General features: G+C 34.0%; 1 protein-coding gene across 5 annotated transcripts in view; it reads right to left on the bottom strand.

The window, feature by feature from the left end:
* The window catches only part of CCDC172 (coiled-coil domain containing 172), a 55,582-nt gene that overhangs the window by 30,830 nt on the left and 5,459 nt on the right, over positions 1 to 19,293 (bottom strand). For 4 of the 5 annotated variants that reach the window (NM_198515.3, XM_011539771.3, XM_017016206.1 and 1 more), the window contains 2 exons: positions 8,350 to 8,466; positions 6,999 to 7,164 (listed from right to left, as the gene is read on the bottom strand). In NM_198515.3, the coding sequence (NP_940917.1) occupies positions 6,999 to 7,164; positions 8,350 to 8,466 (283 nt within the window). The remainder of the gene's footprint in view (positions 1 to 6,998; positions 7,165 to 8,349; positions 8,467 to 19,293) is intronic. The other variant, XM_006717820.5, reaches the window with a different exon arrangement.

Raw genomic sequence — 19,293 nt, 5'->3', positions numbered from 1 at the left:
CCCTGAGCTTGTTTTCCTGCAACAAGACCGTCCCATCTGGGGGTGACGGGAGACAGTGGCAAATCATCAGCCATTAGATTCTCATAAGGAGCATGCAATCTACATCCCTCACATGCACAGTTCACGAGAGGGTTTATGTTCGAGAATCTAATAACTGCTGCTGATCTGATAGGAGGCAGAGCTCAGGTGGTAATGTGAGTGATGGGGAGTTGCTGTAAATACAGATGAAGCTTTGCTCACTCACCCGCCACTCACCTCCTGCTATGTGGCTTACTTCTTAACAGGCCACGGACCAGTACTGGCCCAGGGGTTGGGGACCCACAAACTAGATAAAGGATTAAAAAAGTATTCCAAATAGAACACAGTCAACGGTCCTGAGGCAGGAGGAAGCAGGGTACAATCTAGGAACACAAAAGAGGGCAGCATGCCTTTAGCACAAAGAAGCTGCTGGGTGAGGCTGGAAGGTGGAGAGGCACTAGATGCTGCAGGGATGGCAAAACAGGTTGGAAAGCTTGGTTTGCCATATTTAAACAGAACATAACCTAAGAGGCTTAATACAATAGTACAGTATTAATAATATCTTTTTTAAAAATGGATGTTCACATTTTGGCAATCTCAAGGAGTAAGAATAGGCTCCAATCCTGTGGTTAAAAAATAATAAATCAAAGATAATATCTGGCAGTGGGAAAAAAACACTGAGTAGCAGAAAATAGTATAAATATAAAAATAGCTATGAAGTTAAAAATGGAGATTATTCAAAACCCAATGAAACTGGCTGACTAATCATAGTTATGGGCTAAAAGCTCAGTGGGCAAGGTCAGAATGAAGGAAGAAAGAGGAGAAAAGTCAAATGCCAGAAAATAACAGATGTGGTGGCACGAATTAGAAGTGGGAATGGAAGAGCAAACACTGACAGGTAAGAAGACAAATGGAAGCTAAACTGCTCTGGGAAGTCAACAGCTCTAATATCTGCTTAAAATTTGAACAACTTCTTTCTCCACCACCACCACCACCAAGAAGAGTTGCCACAAACCGTTTCATAGGTTAATTCTTTTGAACCCTGAAGGAATAGATAATTATAGTACGTACATTTTTCCAAGCAGAGAAAGAAAAAAGCGTCAGTATGCTTTTTGTGAAATCAACATAATACACACACAAAGATGAATCTCACATATACTGATGCAAAAATCTTAAAGAAGATGTTATCAAATAAAATTCAGTAATACATTAGAAGACTAAGAGTGCACAGCTAAGTAAGGTTAGTGATAGGATATATATAAATAAAATTTATTACATCAATAGATTACAGTTGGAAATATGAATGTCTCAAAAAGGAGATGTAGTGGGAGGGAGGGAAGAATGGTGGAGGATGCAACTAAACATAGAAAACCCAGTGAAATCAAGTTGTATCAGCTTCAACTAATGACAATTTTGTCTTTGTTTTCCAATATTTACTGTGTTTCTAATTTTACTGGCTGATACTTTTAGAACACTGTTATATAATAGTGATGATATTGGATACCCTCCCTTATTACTAACTTTTATGGAAATACTTCTAGAGTTTCATTGTTAATCATGATGTCAGAGTGAAGCTCTCCCTCTCCTTCTTCCTCTCCTTTCACCTCTCCTCCACCATTTTTCCCTCCTTCCCTCTACATCGCCTTTTTAAAAACAATCATATGCTTTTCCAACTGTAATCTATTAATGTAATGAATTTTATTAATAGATATCCCATTTCTGCTCTTCCTTCTGCTCAACTCCTTACAATTTGGCTTTTGCCCTGCTTATTACCTCAATCTGCTCCCTTTCCTGAAGGCCACCAATGACCTCTGATTGCTGCTTCTTAGTCCTTATTCTAGTTGACAGCTCAGCAGCAATCAACATGGGTTGATCATGCCTTCAAATACTCTCTCCCTAGGTGATGTCAACTCCACTCAGTAACGTGTTCTGCCCATCTTTCATGAAGCCGTCTTAGACTCTTCACTCAAGTTTTTGAAAATCCTGAGGTTCTGCAGGGTACTGTCCATTTTCTTTCAATACATTCTCTCTAGGTGAGTCCCAAAATTTAATAGCTCTAGCCCAGAACTATCTCTGAGCTCTTGACTTAAATTACAACTATCTAATTGACATCTACACTCAAATCTCTCACTTGGCTAATCAGTATCATTCTTCAGACCTCACTCTGAAGGCAACTTGTTCAGGGAAATCTTCCTTAACTTCCTAGTCCAGTTTAAGTCTACTTATATATGTTCTCATATCATCTTGTGCTTCTCCTTTTGAAGCAGTCATCAATTTATTATTATCTCATTCATACTGTTGGGGCCAGCACATTAATCAAAATAAAGTCCCTGCTATTAAAAAGATTAAAGTTTTATATGAAAATGTTATGAAATACCTAGAAACAGACTTTCTGAAAGAATAAAAAATCAACAATATCAGGTACTCTGAAAACAAATCTTTTAAAATAAATCCATATTTCTAGAAAAAGAGAACTAAACTAGAGGGCTCCAATAGCATCTGTGATATCAGGGACTTTTTTTTTTCTTAATTTTAAAGAGGAATAATTTACATAAAGTATATTCATTTAGAGCATACAATTTCATGACTTTTGACAGTCACTGACACCTATGAAACACCCACAGGCAAGAAACTGTACATTTCTATCAACCCAAAAGATTATTTGTGACCCTTCACAGTTCATTCATTTTGACCCAGGCAACCATTGATCTGCTTGCCATGGCTTTACGTTAGTTTGCATGTGTCTAGCTTCTTTTAATCATCATATTATTTTGAAATAGGTCCATGTAGTGCATCAGTAGAATTAGTCATTTTTATTGCCAAGTATTCCGTTGCATAGATATGTCAATTTTGTTTAACCATTTACTTCCTTTTTTTTTTTTTTTTTTTTGAGACGAAGTCTCACTCTGTCACCCAGGCTGGAGTGCAATGGCGCGATCTTGGCTCACTGCAACCTCCGCCTCCTGGGTTCAAGCCATTCTTCTGCCTCAGCCTCCTGAGTAGCTGGGATTACAGGTGCCCGACACCACGCCCGGCTAATTTTTTGGTTTTAGTAGAGACGGGGTTTCACTATGTTGGCCAGGCTGGTCTTGAACTCCTGACCTTGTGATCCGCCCACCTCGGCCTCCGAAACCATTCACTTCTTAACGGACATTTAAGTTATGTTCAATTTTTGACTACTGTGAATAAAACTGCCAAAACGTTAGGATATAGGTTTCATCTCTCTGGAGTATCTCATTGTGGAGTGGCTGGGCTGTATGGTAAATGTACATTTAGCTTGTTAAGAAACTGCAAAACAATTTTCTAAAGTGATTGTACCATTAATTTTACATTCCCATCACTACCATATGAGTATCAGATGCTCCACATTCTCAGCAACGTTTGGTATGGTCAGTCTTTTTAACTTTAATTAAGTGGATATACAGTGATATATCACTGCCGTTTTAATTTGTATTTTCCAAATGACTAAAGATATTGAGTATCTTTTCACATGTTCATTGGCCATTAGTACTCTATTGTGAAGTTCAACTTTTTTCCCTTTTATAATTGGCTTTTTGCCTTTCTTATTTTTTAAGTTGTTAGAGTTCATTATGTTCTGGATAACAGTACATTGGAAGATATATTTAATGCAAATATTCTCTCCAAGACTGTTGTCTGTCTTCTAATTTTCTTAAGTGTCTTTTCAATTTATTTTAAATCTGTTTTTCTTTTTACGGTTCATGATTCTTGTGTCCCATCTAAGAAATCATTGCCTATTCCAAGATGGAAAAGATTTTCTCCTATGTTTTCTTCTAGGAAATTCATAATTTTAGCTTTTGTGTCTAGGTGTATGCCTATTTTGAGTTAATTTATAATACGGTGTGAAGAGTTAAGGATCATTGTTTTGCAATGGATGTCCAATTCTTCTAGCACCACTTATTGAAAATACTTTCCTTTTCCCACTGAACTGCCTTTCCATCTTTGTTGAAAACCAGTTGACAATATGCATTTCTATTTCTGGACTCTTCTGTTCCAGCTATTTATATGCCTATTTTTAAGGCAGTGACACATTATCTTGATTACTATAGAATTTGAGTAAATTTTGAAATCACAGAATATAAATCCTTAAATTTTATTCTTTTTAAAATTGTTTTGATTTTGTAAGTCATTTGTATTTCCATATACAAAGGCATTGTTCTCATAGAAGATGATAGCTCCATGTCCCTGAAGACCTTCCAGTGGGACAAGATGTAGAGGTGGAAGACAGTGATATTGTGATACTGACTCTGTGTAAGCCTAATGTGCATGTTTGTGTTTTAGGTTTTTTTTTTTTTTTTTAGTTTCAAGTAAAAAAATAATTTCTAAGATAGAAGAAAGTTGTAGAATAAGGATACAAAGAAAAAAATTTTTTGTATATTCATACAACATGTGTTTTAAACTAAGTGTTATTAGAAGAGTCAAAAATAATAAAAGGTTTATAAAGTAAAAAAGTTACAGTAAGCTGAAGTTAATGTTAATTTACTTTGGAAGAAAAATTCTTTTTACAAACTTAGTGTAGCCTAAATACACAGTGTTTATAAAGTTTACAGTAGCATACAGTAATGTTCTAGGCCTCCACATTCACACACCATTCACTCACTGACTCGCCCAGAGCAACTTCCAGCTCTACAAGCTCCATTCATGGTAAATACCCTATAAAGGTGCCCTATAGAGATTTTTAAAATCATTTATACTGTATTTTTGCTGTACCTTTTCTAGATTTATATATGTTTAGGTAGACAAATACTTGCCATTGTGTTCCAACTGCCTACAGTCTTCAGTATAGTAACATTGAGTACAGGCTTACAGCCTAGGAGCAATAGGCTATACCATATAGCCCAGGTGTGTAATAGGTTATCCCATCCAGGTTTGTGTAAGTACAATCTATGATGTTCACACGATGATACTGACTAAGAATGCATTTCTCAGAACATATCCCCATTATTAAAGTGATGCATGATTGCAAATGGATTCAAGTGTATCATTTTATTATTAGTTTTCTGTCTGTTCTGTGTTTTTGTTCCCCTCTTTCCCTTTCCCACTTTCTTTCAGATTAAATGTGTATTTTAATTTCTATATTGTCCTTTTAGCTATTTGTTTTTGGATTATTTCCTTAATGGTTGTTCTGGAATTAAAATAAACAACTTTGGTAGCCTTACTACAAGATGCCCTCCCTGTCTTCATTCTCACCACTAAGAAATGTCTTGAGGGTAAAGAAAAAAATCCAATATTCTTAAGAAATCATAAAGACTAAATCTAGCATGTGAATTAAAAAGCCTTTCCTAAAACCTCAGAAAAATCCAAGGTGATGCCTCAGAGAACCATTCAGTCAAAGTATAGGGCCAAGAAGTTTAAGAATATTGTCTCAGTAGTTTTAGCAAAAGGCCAAAGTATAAAAGGGCTTATCTCAAAGAAATTTGTAGTTGTGGCTTTTCCCTAATGAAGTGAGCCTCAGTAGGATTCACGTGAGACCCACAAAGTTTTTAAGAGCACTGTATTTACATGAACACAGTGAGCTTGGACTGAAATGGACAGAGGCAGTAAAAAAAAGGAATGATACGCAACTTTTACAGAATGGAAGCAGGCACAGGACAATTGCAAATGCAAGCTATCTTTTATATATATTTTTTTAAAAAAAAAAAAAAAAACGAATGATCAGAGAAGGGAAATAGGAGCACAGAGAGTAGTGTCAAGAGTCATGGGGAATCATTCCCAGGAGGGAGGATGACTGAGTCCTAATCAAGGAATGTCCAATACTTGCCTGGCTCAATTTCAGAATTGCTATATAACAATGACTCCAGTTTTTCTGCTTTCTGAACAGAAGTATCACTAGTGATTATCCTATGCCTATCTCACCATAGTATATTGGGAATATGAAGGGCAACTGTTTCTTTGGCTGAGGTCTTCAGATCAAGAGGACATGTACTCAAGGAGTTACATAAGCAACTACATCCAAGGAGCCTCATGTGCAATTGAACCTAGTTTAGATGAGGAAATACTGGACATTAAGCTAATGCTATAATAGAATCTCTGAAGTTTGAAAACTGATTTATCCTTGACTTTCCCTACTTGGCAACTGCTTTAATTCAGGATCTTATCAAAGATTGCAATAACCCACATACTAGTTGTATTAGTCCATTCTTGCACTACTATAAAGAACTACCCGAGACTGGGTAATTTATTAAAAAAGAAGAAGAAGAAGAAGAGAGATTTACTTAGCTCATGGTTCTGGAAGCTATAGAGGGAGCATGGCTGGGGAGGCCTCAGAAAACTTAAAATCGTGGTGGAAGGCAGAGGGGAAGCAGGAACATCTTACATGGCCAGAGCAGGAAGAACAGAGAGAAGCAGGAGGTGCTACATACTTTTAAACAACCAAATCTCATGATAACTCACTCAATGTCATGAGAATAGCACCAAAGGGGAAACCTGCCCCCATGAGCCAATCACCTCCCACCAGGCCCAACCTCCAACATTAAGGATTACAATTTGACACGACATTTGCATGGGGACACAGACCCAAACCTTCACTAGTGTTCCTGAAATAAAACTCTCTCCACTCCACTGTGTAAACTTATTCCTAGCTTCTCCTGGATTGTTAGAGGATTAGGGCACCAATCCTAACCCCTACTGTAGCTTCCATCACAATGTGCTGTAAATGTCTGCTTACATATTTTCTTCCTCCACTTTTTATTGTTATATCTTCAAGACCTAGAACAGTGCCTATCACATAACAGATATTTATTTATTAAATGAATGACCAAATGTTCATGTCACATGTACTTCTAAATCATTTGAAACTGCTCACAATAGAAGATACATCTTCATTAAATCAATAAAAGTAAAAGAATCGCTATGCAATAACCCAATTTGCTCATGAAAAAGTTAAATTTTTGGAAAATTCATTCATTCAAAATAAGTTATTTTCATTAATGCAAGACAAATGAGGTGATATTTATTCATACCACTTTTCAACATGTTTGCTTGGTTTTCTAAGTCAGATATTTCAATCTTGACATTTTCTTTCATCAAAAGCTCTCTTTTCTTTGTTATTTCATAATCATTATTAAAGTCTGTAATTTCCTTAATAAATTTGTCTTCCTCCTCTATCATTTGTTTCTTTATAGCCTCCTGAAAAACATAAATAAAAGATCAAATATAGGTGTTAGTTGCAATAATATTTTTCCTTAATTATTTAAAATATAATAATTTGGAATTATTAACAATGAAAGTATATAGTTACACTTCCTGGTTTTATGGCAAAAATGTTTTTTTCTCATAGTAATATTAATAAAAAACTGAAGCTATTATATAGTAACAACTATCTTCAGATGAAAGATTTAATCTTAAAGTTTTGGGAGAATTATTGAGGTAGATATTCTACCACTCATCATTATATCTGTTTATTTGTGTATTAAAATTCAGAATCATATTACATTTTATAATTATAATATAAAACTGGAGAGTAAAGTAATTAAATGGCCAAACTGAAAAACTAAAATTTACACTTAAAGGGATTACTGCCTTACAGGAAAACAAACAAACAAACAAGGATAGCCAAGAAAACCTTTTAAAATGTGGATGATGAAATCAAAATTATATATTCACTTCAAAATCAGTTTTAAATAATAGTTTACATTTTATGAAGTATCAACATGGCAGAGAAATAAGAATTTCCAAAAACTGTGGACAATGCAAAAACCTAAACTCTTTGACAATGCTAGAATATAAACATTACCATATTTTTCTAAGCTATGTCAATGAATTTTAAGCCTCATTTTCAAACTGGCCACGTCATTTCAAACCACCAAGTGTGTTGGTTCTGACTTCAGATATGTATTTTTAATATCTTTAAATGTATTTTCTTTAAAATGTCAATCACAAGTCATATTTCTAAATTGGCCCTGTCATTCAAAACTATTGCTCAGGCTGTTGGCTCTGAGTTAACAGAAAAAGATTAACAATATCCATCCTTTTAGCCACATCCATAAATATGCCTAAAGTGTGAAACTTTCTGCCTTTCAAAACGATTTTATCCAAGGTCTCAATGCTTGAGCAATTCAAATCAGTTCCACTGTTTCTTTTGTGCTTATTACAACTGAAAATAATTGCTATATTACATCCCTGCCCATATACTTCTTTCAAACTGTATTACTCTACCAATTGGTTTTAAATAGCACTTAATACTTTCCTGTATCTGAGCAGTACTACCTGCTAATATGCACATGGATAATTTTCTAAAAGTATACTTAAGTATATTTGAATACTTTTTTACATATTAGTGAAATAGATTTTTCTAGGTGGCTGGAAACTTACAAAGGTTTGAAGAAGCATATTCCTATGGTTTGTAATTTCACTGTACTGTTTTTCTAAAGCATTTTCATGAGCTTTCAAAAGCTGTAAGAAGAAGGATTTTTCAAAAAACTGTTGAACCTTCAAAGTACAAAAACAGAAATCAGAATAAAACAATTAATTAGACATTTTAGAGTACCTTAGGTAACAGAGAAGATTTGTCTAGTATAAAATATATTCTGTATTAATCTTTAAAATGCAAAATAAAATTAGCATCAAACATCTTATTTTATATACACTATCTTGTATTATTTTTTAAGTACTTTATAGTTACAATTTTATAATCTCTTCCCCTAATAAGACTATAGGCTCCTCAAGGGCAGAGAATGTGCTTTCTTTTTCCTCTCAATACCTAGAAGAATTCTTAGCTAGGTACTAACGCTTTTTGAATACACACATTGAAATCTGCTTTAAGACTGTTTGTTTTTAGATAATAAGTTTCTATTTTCACAGTTTATAAGGAATATATGAATGAATAAATCATGTACATAATATAACTAATAAAATAATAAGATAAAATCTGCAAAGCAGAGGCAAAAACCCAGTCCCATGATTATAGTTATATCAAATAAAAAACGAGTCTGCTAAAGACCTTAAATGGGTTTTGAGAACTCATTTTTTATTTTAATACTTCATTTGGTTCTAAGTAGCAAAAGGTATAATAAACATTAATGTTAGACATGCAACTGTTATTTCATTTGGAACTTAAAAAATAACATCTCCTGAGATGAATATTGAAATGAAGTTAGGAAGCTTTAATATATGAAAGCTAAAAATGATGCTGGACTGGAAATACTGTAATTTTTCTACTATGTTCAGTACTAGCCCTCATAAGAAAGCATCGTTTCCAGTTTGGGGCTGTTCCCATCTCCACAGGGAAAAGAAAAAGGATATAAATTCAACTTAAATTGCAGAAAGCAAGATTTATGGTAGTTATAAGAACTTCCTCAAGGTGAGAGACAGGTTGTGAAATCTCTGTCCCAGACAATATTGAATAGTAAAGAGCTTAGAAATAGTCTAGTCCAGAGGCAAAAGGGTTGGCTTAAGAGACAGTTTGAAATATTATGGCTAAAATGTCCTAGAAATATTGACATTAAAAAAGTTGCTCAAATTTTCAAAACCAGAAAATATGATCTTACATTTATATAAGATCGTAGCCCATCTGCCCATATCTTCAGTACTTGGTACTGTTTTCATCAACCCAATTTTAAGAAAGGCATCAATAGAGAAAGATTAGAGAGGTACAATTCACATAATCAAAGGAACTGAGATAATATTTTAGAGATTGGGGGAAGGAATAATAGGGTGGTTAGTATTTTTCTGTCTCAGAAGACAGAAATTAGAAAACATATGGCCAAATCTATAAAATCATATAGAAATTTATAACAAGGGGAAACTAGGGTATGATCATGAAATCTACCACATTTATTCAGAATAAAAAATATTTTGTGACTATTTAATGCTTATTATGTAAATGATAATAAAATGAGGTCCAGAGAAGTTAAACACCTTAACAAAGGCTATATAACTAATTAGAGGCAAATCCAGGACTAAAATTCAGGTCTTCTGCCTTTCTTTCTTCTAAATCATGATGTGAGCATGGAAATGTCAGAACTATTTCAAAGTAATGAAAAGATAATTCTAGAGCTAAAAAGAGACTTTGAGGTGTGATGGTGAGTTGAAAATATATAAGGTTAATAAACATTTAAGGAAATTACCAAATCCTAGATCCACCAGAGCTTACTGAGAAGGGTGTTTGCAGTATATACCTAACTCTGAGTTACTGCTGTGGACACTGCCCAGGAATGTCCACAAAAAATGCTTTAGAGACCAAATAATGCACTGGATAAATGTGGGTTTAATCTACTAAGGTATTTCAAGTATTATGCCCTTCAGAAACGCAATTCATGAATTCTAAGTCCATGTATACCACTGATCTGTTGTAAAAGATCTATGTCAAACCCAAAACTCAAAAATGAGGAAAATATTACTTATCAAACTAACGGATTTCTAAATGAGACTTAAGCAAATCTATTATTCAAATTCAGGAAAGCCTTATGTTAAGGACTCAGAAATTAAGGTGCTATCTTTCAGCTATCAATGACTAAGAGCTTAAATTACCACTGAGCCCACGTCTTCTTTCTTAAAAGGGAGAATAACCAATATTAAGAAGAGCTAGGTGACATATTGGCACTTAACCAGAATATTTCACCATTACCTAAAAAATGAAATCTATATCCCAAAAACTAAAAAGTAGACAGCTGTTCTAAAGATTTATAAAAAGGGCATATCCATAATTTTCCTCTTCCCTAAAATTTTATGTAAATCATCCATTTTAAGTTCTCTGCTTCTTTGTTTTTATTTTTATTATTAGTTTATCTCCTCTTCATTCCCTTTCTGTCTTACCTTCTGTCTTTATTGTTTACTTCCATATTTGTCTCTTTTAATCCAGATCTAAAGAGTCCCAGAGAGTCAATAACTACAGAAAGATTACGGTACATTAATCTTCAAATTTACATAGGATCTATGGTTAAAAAATGTTAATACAAAAGTCTTGGTAAGTATGAGAAGTAGAATGACGGAGAAAGCGGCAGGAGTTTGGGAAAGTTAAAGTCAGGAAGGACAAGAATAGAGGCCTATAATATACTGCTTCACATTGTTAAGGACATCAACAGATCAAGGTTGCAGAAGCTAGATGAGGCCTATTATTATTAATATATTGCCTTCATATTTTAGTGGAACTAAGGAAACAAAAACTTTTGAATCTGCCCAGTTCCTCGTTGTTAAGTTACTAACTCTTCAGAAATAAAATAGCTTTTCACAGTCTCCTATTCGTAGAATGTTTCAGATGGTTCCTTTTGTTCTTACTGTTGTCCCAACTGATTTCTTAAGTTATTTTTTATGTTCCTGCATTTGACAACTAAATCTACTGATATGTAAAATTTAAGTAAATATTCGAAATATAACCCTGAATGTATTGATAGGATCAAAAGATGAATAAATAATCATCAGAAAATCTTCTCACCTCTTTTTTGTTACAAAGGTGGAGATCAGAGTTGGGAAGATAATACATAAAATGTTAGAGTGTGACATAAAAATATTTCTAAATATATCGGGTCAGGTTTGAACTGAGGCAATATTTTATATCTATGTAGCTTGAACATTTATTTTATAGTAAACAAAAACTTAAAAATCCATTGCTTCTGTGTCCTAAGTTATCCACTAAGATCCCAAAAGAATACAGACAATATGAAGAAAAGGGTGGGAAGTTCCTAATGGCAGTGATAAAATTTTCTCTTTTTCATTTCTATCTGTCCTCCTACTAGAAATGAAAAAATATATTTGCACACAGCCTTAAAGTGATAGGCCAGGCACAGTGGCTCACACCTGTAATCCCAGCACTTTGGGAGGCCGAGACGGGTGGATCACCTGGTCAGGAGTTTGAGACCAGCCTGGCCAACATGGTGAAATCCCCCTCTACTAAAAATACAAGAATCAGCCAGGTGTGGTGGGGGCACCCGTAATCCCAGCTACTCAGGAGGCTAAGGCAGAATAATTTCTTGAATCCGGGAGGCAGAGGTTGCAGTGAGCCAAGATTGTGCCACTGCACTCCAGCCTGGGTGACGAGAGTGAAACTCTTGTTTAAAAAAAAAAAAAAATCTAGAATCACATAGCCAAGCTTTGTCAGAAAATACTGCTGTTTTGGAAAATTCTAATTTATAGTAGTGCCAACTCCCTGGTTAATTCTGCTTCTCTCAGCAATAAAGACTGTTTTTCCTTTCCTTGTTTTATTCCTCTTGGGATATTTGATTTTTTAATGGAGCTTATAGTTTTCCCAGTGAGCTGACTTATCTGGTCAACTAGGTCAGTTTTCAGCAAAGCCATGATTTGTGACTTTTCACTACTCTTGCTGCCTGGGTGCCTTTAGGTATTTTTCTGCCAGAAGAACTTAAAAATTGAAAATGACTGAGGATTTAAAATTAATGTTAGGGTCCAAGCAAGCAAAGTACATAGGTCCTCTTTGTTGTGGTTGCTGTTGTTAAAAATAATCTCGGCCTTGAGGAACTGACATTTTGCTGATTAAATAATCTGCCCCATAGCATAATAGGCAATTTTACATTTAAAAAAAAAACTAAGAGTTACGTAGAAAATTTCACATACCTAAAACCATAACAATTGGGAAAAATATATCATTATTATGACTATATGATAAAAGACATTCTAAATACTAAGGTACATTAATGAATATTGTATTGATAGCAGATATTAAGGTTTTTGTAAAAAAGATCTATCTTTATACTTTTCCAAATCACAGAGGCAATGCTTAAAGAATAACTTACTATGACATAATAATCCTAATATAGTTAGCAAGGAAGGAAATAACCTCCTGACAATGGCTTATAAGGCTTTACATGATTTTCACCCCCACTCCCTCTCCAGCCATCTCTCCTATCAGTCACCTCCTCACTTGCCCCATTCCAGCCACAGTGGCCTTATTATTATTACGTATGTATCATATGTAATATATATAATATATAATATCACATATAATATATACTACATACTATTATATATAATATAAAATATAATACATGTATAATATAATATAATATTTATACATATTAAATATACATTTTTGTTGTTGTTGAAATGGAGTCTTACTCTTGTCGCCCAGGCTGAAGTGCAGTGGCATGATCTTGGCTCACTGCAACCTCCGCCTCGCGGATTCAAGCAATTCTCCTGCCTCAGCCTCCCGGGTAGCTGGGATTACAGGGGCACACCATCATGCCTGGCTAATTTTTGTATTTTTAGTAGAGACAGGGTTTCGCCATGTTGGCCAGGCTGGTCTCAAACTCCTGACCTCAGATGATCCACCCCCCTTGGCCTCTCAAAGTGCTGGGAATACAGATGTGAGCCACCGCACCTGGCCCCATTATTATATATGAATCCAAGAAAATATACAGAGAAACCATCAAGAAATAAAAAAAAGGGTTTAGTAAAGAAGCTAGTAACAAAATAAATACCAAAATCTATTCTAGTTACCAACAAAAACAGAAAAAAGCATGGAAAATATCCCATTCGTGACAGCAAAATCAAGACAAACAAAATACAAATAAGAAATATCTGAGACCTGTATGAAAAACTTCTACTGAGGAACATACAAGAAAATCTGAATAAACAGAAAAAGATGTTATATTCTTAAGTGTGACTCAGAGTTATAAAGACATCAATTCTTCATAAATTACAACATGAAATTAGTGCAATCTTATGAAAACCCCAATGATTTTGGTTCTTTTTTAATTTGACAAAATGATTTTCAAATTTATCTAGAAATATAAACTATGAAAAGAATCAGGAAAATTCTGAAAAAGAAATTACCCTTCCAGAGGGCCAAAGATATTTTAAAGCTAATATATTTAAGCCAATAATATACTGGTGCCAAAACAAATAGATTAATAGTATAGAATATATAAAACAGATACAAGTATAGATATATACACGCACATGCAAAATACTGTATCATAAAGACAGTGTTTCCGATCAATGGGGAACATGTGACATTTACTCAGGTGACAACAGTCATTTTTCTTTAAAATATTTTAAAAAAGAAAACCACTATAAAAGTATTAGAAAAAGATATTGTTTAAAATCTTGGAGTGGGACAGGCTTTCCCAAGCCTAGAATGGATTCGGAAACAAACTAAAACATTAAAAATTCCAGCAACACAAAACTCTAAACTTTTACTAGAAAATCATGTCATAAAAAGCCAAGATACAAATAATAAAGTTTGCAACAAATGATAAAGAAAGAATATCTATAATAAAAAGCTAGATGCCAACCAGAAAAGACTAGGACAGGATAGAAATAGGTAAATATACATATAAATTAAAAATACTAAGTTAAAAAATTCAAATTATAACTAAAAAGATGCCATTTTTATATTTGTAATACATATTAATTTTCAGTGTATGAGTAGTAAAACTGTGAGAATAAAACTGGAACAACTTTTCTGGAGGACAATTTAAAAATAATCAAAGCCTTAAAAATTACAGACCCATTGACACAGCAATTTGATTTATAAGGCTTTACCCTAAAAAGCTAGGATAAGTGCACAAAGATGTATGTATACAGTTATCACTGCAATGATGATAGAAACAGTAATTTATTAATACAATAGTAAATACTTATCAATAAGAAATTAGTTAAATAAAATATAGTATTACATTTAATGGAATACTACGCAGCAATTAAAATTGCTTATTTATATATATATTTACTCAGATGTCTAGGTTACAGTAAATAGAAAAAAGCAAATTATTTAAGAAAAATATAAATCCATTTAAACAATTTTGAAAGAAAACCTATGAAAATGTTAACCGTGTGGTGGAATTATAGGTGATTTTCACTCTGCTTTTTGCCAATTTCTATTTTTGGAATAATTTGCAATAAATAAACACTACTTTTATAAAGAGTTAAAACAATCAAACTATCTTAATTTTGAAAAGTAATCTACTGCATGTTCACCAAATATAATGGTAGAAGGCCTCAGAATTTCCCAGGAATAAAACCCACTTTTCCAGTAGGAACATAAGCGAGAAATCTTAGTAAAGACGGGGAGGAGCGGGAGCTCAGAACGAAAAGAACATTTTAGAGTAATAATCTGATCCATTTGCTCACTGTGGTGGTCCCATCTCTCCCTTTCCTTCCTCTATCTCTCTTGGGAGGAATTTTTAACCAGAAGAAATTAGACTACATTTGAAACTGTGGAACTCATCTGAACAAAGGAAACTGAGGTATACAGCCTTTTAACTTATCTTGAAATATGAATTCAGGCAATAACAATCCATGAGACCATATATGCAACAAAGCCTACACGAGAAATTCTTCCTATCAGCATCAGATCACAGGTACAGCTGTAAGTCGCCAGTTGCCTTTGATCCTTCCCACTCACCTTTTCAGAACTCACCTCCTGTTCCAAAGTCCACAGTCAACTCTTTTCAAAATAACCCCTAAACTGCAAAATTATTCTTCCTCTTTTCCTCAAATAAAACTCCTATTCCTCCAAAGCTGCTCATCTCAGCGAGACAGTAATCTGATTAGGGAAAGACCAGCAAAGCACAAATACTGACCGGTCAAGAACATCTTGTACTGATACGTTTTAATCTGAAAGACTCTTCCTGGGGAGCAACTTTAAAGTAAGATAACTTCTGTGTTATTTGACAACTCAGGTGGCAGTACCTTACCTTACCTATCACCACACATCTTAGGATACAAAACAAAGGGATGCTGAGGTAGTGTTTATTCATGCACTGCTTTTAATGGAAGAACTATAAAATGTCACACATTCTTTAAAACATACATCTTCCTCAACAAATAAGAAAACTTGGCACATGTGCAAGAAATAATCATATCTCAGGCAATAAAGCTACACTACAAGAACACTAGAAATTGGGCTGGGGGTACTCACATCAGCTTGTCAATCAGCTTTAGCTCTAAGAAAGTAGTTGATTCTTCCAGTATTCAAGAAAATGAGAACAGGACAAAAAACAATTTATATATTGTATTTATAGGCAAATTGCAGGTCTGAACAAATCTCACAGAATAACAACATGAACCCTATGAAAAATACTGTTAACAGAAGAGATAAAGAGAATTATCCAAAAGATTACAGTGAAGAGCACAGGATGAAAAAAAAATTGTAATCAATTACTTACTGTTCTTAAAAGGATGCAAACAAAGACATGTCCACTAGAAAACAAGAGCAAGGAAGGACATAGCAGAGAAAGATAAAAACAGAACAAGCTGAAATTTTTAAAAATTAGAGTGTTAAAAAAGAGAAGACAACACATGATTTAAATTTGCAGAGAGCATTAAATAACTAAAACTAATACTGCAAAAAATAGAATTAGGGATGTAAAGGATACAAAGTTTTCCCAGACTTCTGAGGATTCAATTCAGAGAAAAGAGAATAAAGCTCTTCTAAATTATAAGAAATGGGTGTATTGAAAACAAACTCTATGAAATAATAGCTGAGGTTAAAATGGAAGGCTCACCCTTGTTCCAGAAAAAAAAAACCATATCTGTACCAAATTTGGAATTATAGATTGTTTAAAATCATAAAAGCAATCAGGGAAGAAAACAAAACCTAACAGGTTACCTTAAAATAGGATTTTTAAAAACCAGGTTGACTTCAATACTTCTCTTCTGCATTAATAAATTTCAGAATATAATAGTGCTAGATCCACAAAATGTTGTAAAAAAAGGTTTGACTCAATAATTCTGTACAGACAAGTTTCCATGCAAGTGTGAAGATAACAGAAATTTCAGATATTAATAGCTTAGAAGATCTGTCATTCACAACTTCCTCCTACAAAATTACAATTACAGACTCATCAAAAAACAAATAAAAAAATAAGAACTCAAGAATGACAACGTGAGGCATTGAAGAGTTTTATAGTGCAGAATTATGGTTAATATGGCAGTAAAAGCAAAAGTAGAAAGGACTTACTTTCTACTCCAAACAAAGAGAAATGCTAGATAAAATCTAACTACATTTAAAATATTTATCATTTACATAGCTAAGCCAAAAGGAGGAGGGAAATCTTCATGCAAGAAACAAATAGACAGCTCAGTGTAAGGATGGTGATAAAATTCAAGCCCACAGGAGCATCTTTCAGAAAGGATACAGGCATTAGGGATTAGGCTTTAAATGCCCACATAAGAACAAAAATCACAGGCAAAGAGAGCCAGGGTTGGACTCATTGTACTGCCAGGAATTGAGAAATATCTATGCCAGTTACGAAAGATGGATAAAAAACTCCACCTGTTGCCCTAGAGATGCAGTGTATAAGTGAGCTATATCCCATTGAGCCATGAGTGGAAAACGAGTCATATCCTGAGAATTTGAACCCTGAGATTCTCTTATCCATACAGTGCAGAAATCTTGAGCTCAGAATTTAACATAAAAACTGGTCCTTAACAGGGGAAACCTGTGAGGCCCTGGCAGCAGGGGTGAAACTGCTTCTTAGGGACATCTTTTCTATCAAAGGAATATGTCGAACAGCCAGGAGAGATAAGTTCTTCTAAAGATAAGTTCAATAAAATAAAATCAATAATAAATCTTAAAGTTAATAAGAAAATCTACCACCATGTAAGAAAGGCATCAAATCAAACAAGTAGAATTCAAGGCAGAGGAAAATAGAAAACAGGATTCTATGAGAAAAATTTTAACTTATTCACTCACTAAATGTCTGTTTAATACCTACTATTATTCAGGCACTGTTCTAGATGCTGGGAATAACAGCAATGAACAAAATAGATTAATTTCTATCCCTTGTGGAGCTTACATTCCACTGGAGGGAGACAAATAATAAACAGATCAATATAAAATATGCCAAGAGGTGGTACATATCACACAGCATAGAGACAGGGAGAGATGGTAATGCTATTTTATATAGGGAGGTCAGGGAGGGGCCTCTACAGAGAGGGGGCCTCAAATTTTTGGGTCTTTTGACCTCTTCATAGTCTAAAAAATTATTGAGAATTTCTTTTTGTTTGATTGTTTTCATGAATTATATCTAGAAATATTTTCTGTATCAAAATTAAAACTGAAAAATTTTTAAACATTAATTTAATAACAATAATCCTATTGCATTTTAAATACCACATTTGTATTGAAAAATGACTTTCCAAAACAAAAACAAATTAGAAAAAGGAGTTGCATATAGATTTTTTACAAATCTCATTAACATCTGGCTTAATGGAAGACAGCTGAGACCAGGTTTGGTGGTTCACGCCTGTAATTTCAGAACTTTGAGAGACCAAAGTGGGAGGATCACCTGAGGCCAGGAGTTCAAAACTAGCCTGGGCAAAATAGCAAGACCCTGTCTCTAGAAAACAATATATTTTTTAAATTAGCCAGGTAGGGTGGCAGAGGCCTGTAGTCCCAGCTACTCAGGAAGCTGAAGCAGAAGGATCACTTGAGGCCAGGAGTTTGAGGTTGCAGTGAACTGTTGTTGTGCCACTGAGCTCCAATCTGGGTAACAGAGTGAGACTCTGTCTCTTAAAAATAAATAAATAAAAACAAAAAATTAAAAAAGAAGATAGCTGGACTCTCATATCTGCTTCTACTCAATCTTTTGTAATACGTTTTTCAGTTGGAGAATACGGAGTGCACAGATATGTAGTTGGAAATGATTGTGCATATTCTTCTTTGATACTATATCAAAATTCACCATGTGGTAGCTCCTTAAAGGTTAGTTGCAATGTGGAATCTGAAGCCGTTTCAATGAACTTTTCATTCTATGTTATAATAAAATCCATTGGTCTACATTGCACTTTGAGTCTACCTTTTATCTATGCACAGTTTTGTAACTTTATGCATTACTTACTGCTTCCCTGAATTATGCAGATCCTCCAAATGTTGATATATTTCATAATATGCTTTGAAAAGTAACATTCTGAAACATCTTGAAACATACTGCTTCAAAAGTAACATTCATATTCATTAATATCACTAACGAACTCACCAGAAAAATCTTTAAGTACCAGGAAGCTGCCAAGCTGCCAAGATAGATAGGAATCCTCCAAAATTCTAATTTTTGTTTGAAAGCTTGCATATTATCATTGGCAAAATAATAAGAAGAATGTCAGATGTTTGCCTTGACATTTTAGGCTTACTTCATTTATTTTTCAGAAAATTTTGCCAAACACCCAAATCTAAATAACTACAACTTGACTGTCAATTATCTAAGTAAAAATGGCGTTTCAGAAAAAGAATAGCTAGCTCATACTGCATCTCAAACAACTGCACACATGCTCTCTCTTGAGACAATCGTGGCACTTCGGAATATAAAAGTACTTTAGATGTACCACCCATGTGATCGTACACAATATTGAAAATGAATA

Source organism: Homo sapiens, chromosome 10, assembly GCF_000001405.40.
Source record: "Homo sapiens chromosome 10, GRCh38.p14 Primary Assembly".
Taxonomy (NCBI): domain Eukaryota; kingdom Metazoa; phylum Chordata; class Mammalia; order Primates; family Hominidae; genus Homo; species Homo sapiens.
This window is presented reverse-complemented; position numbering and strand designations above follow the sequence as displayed.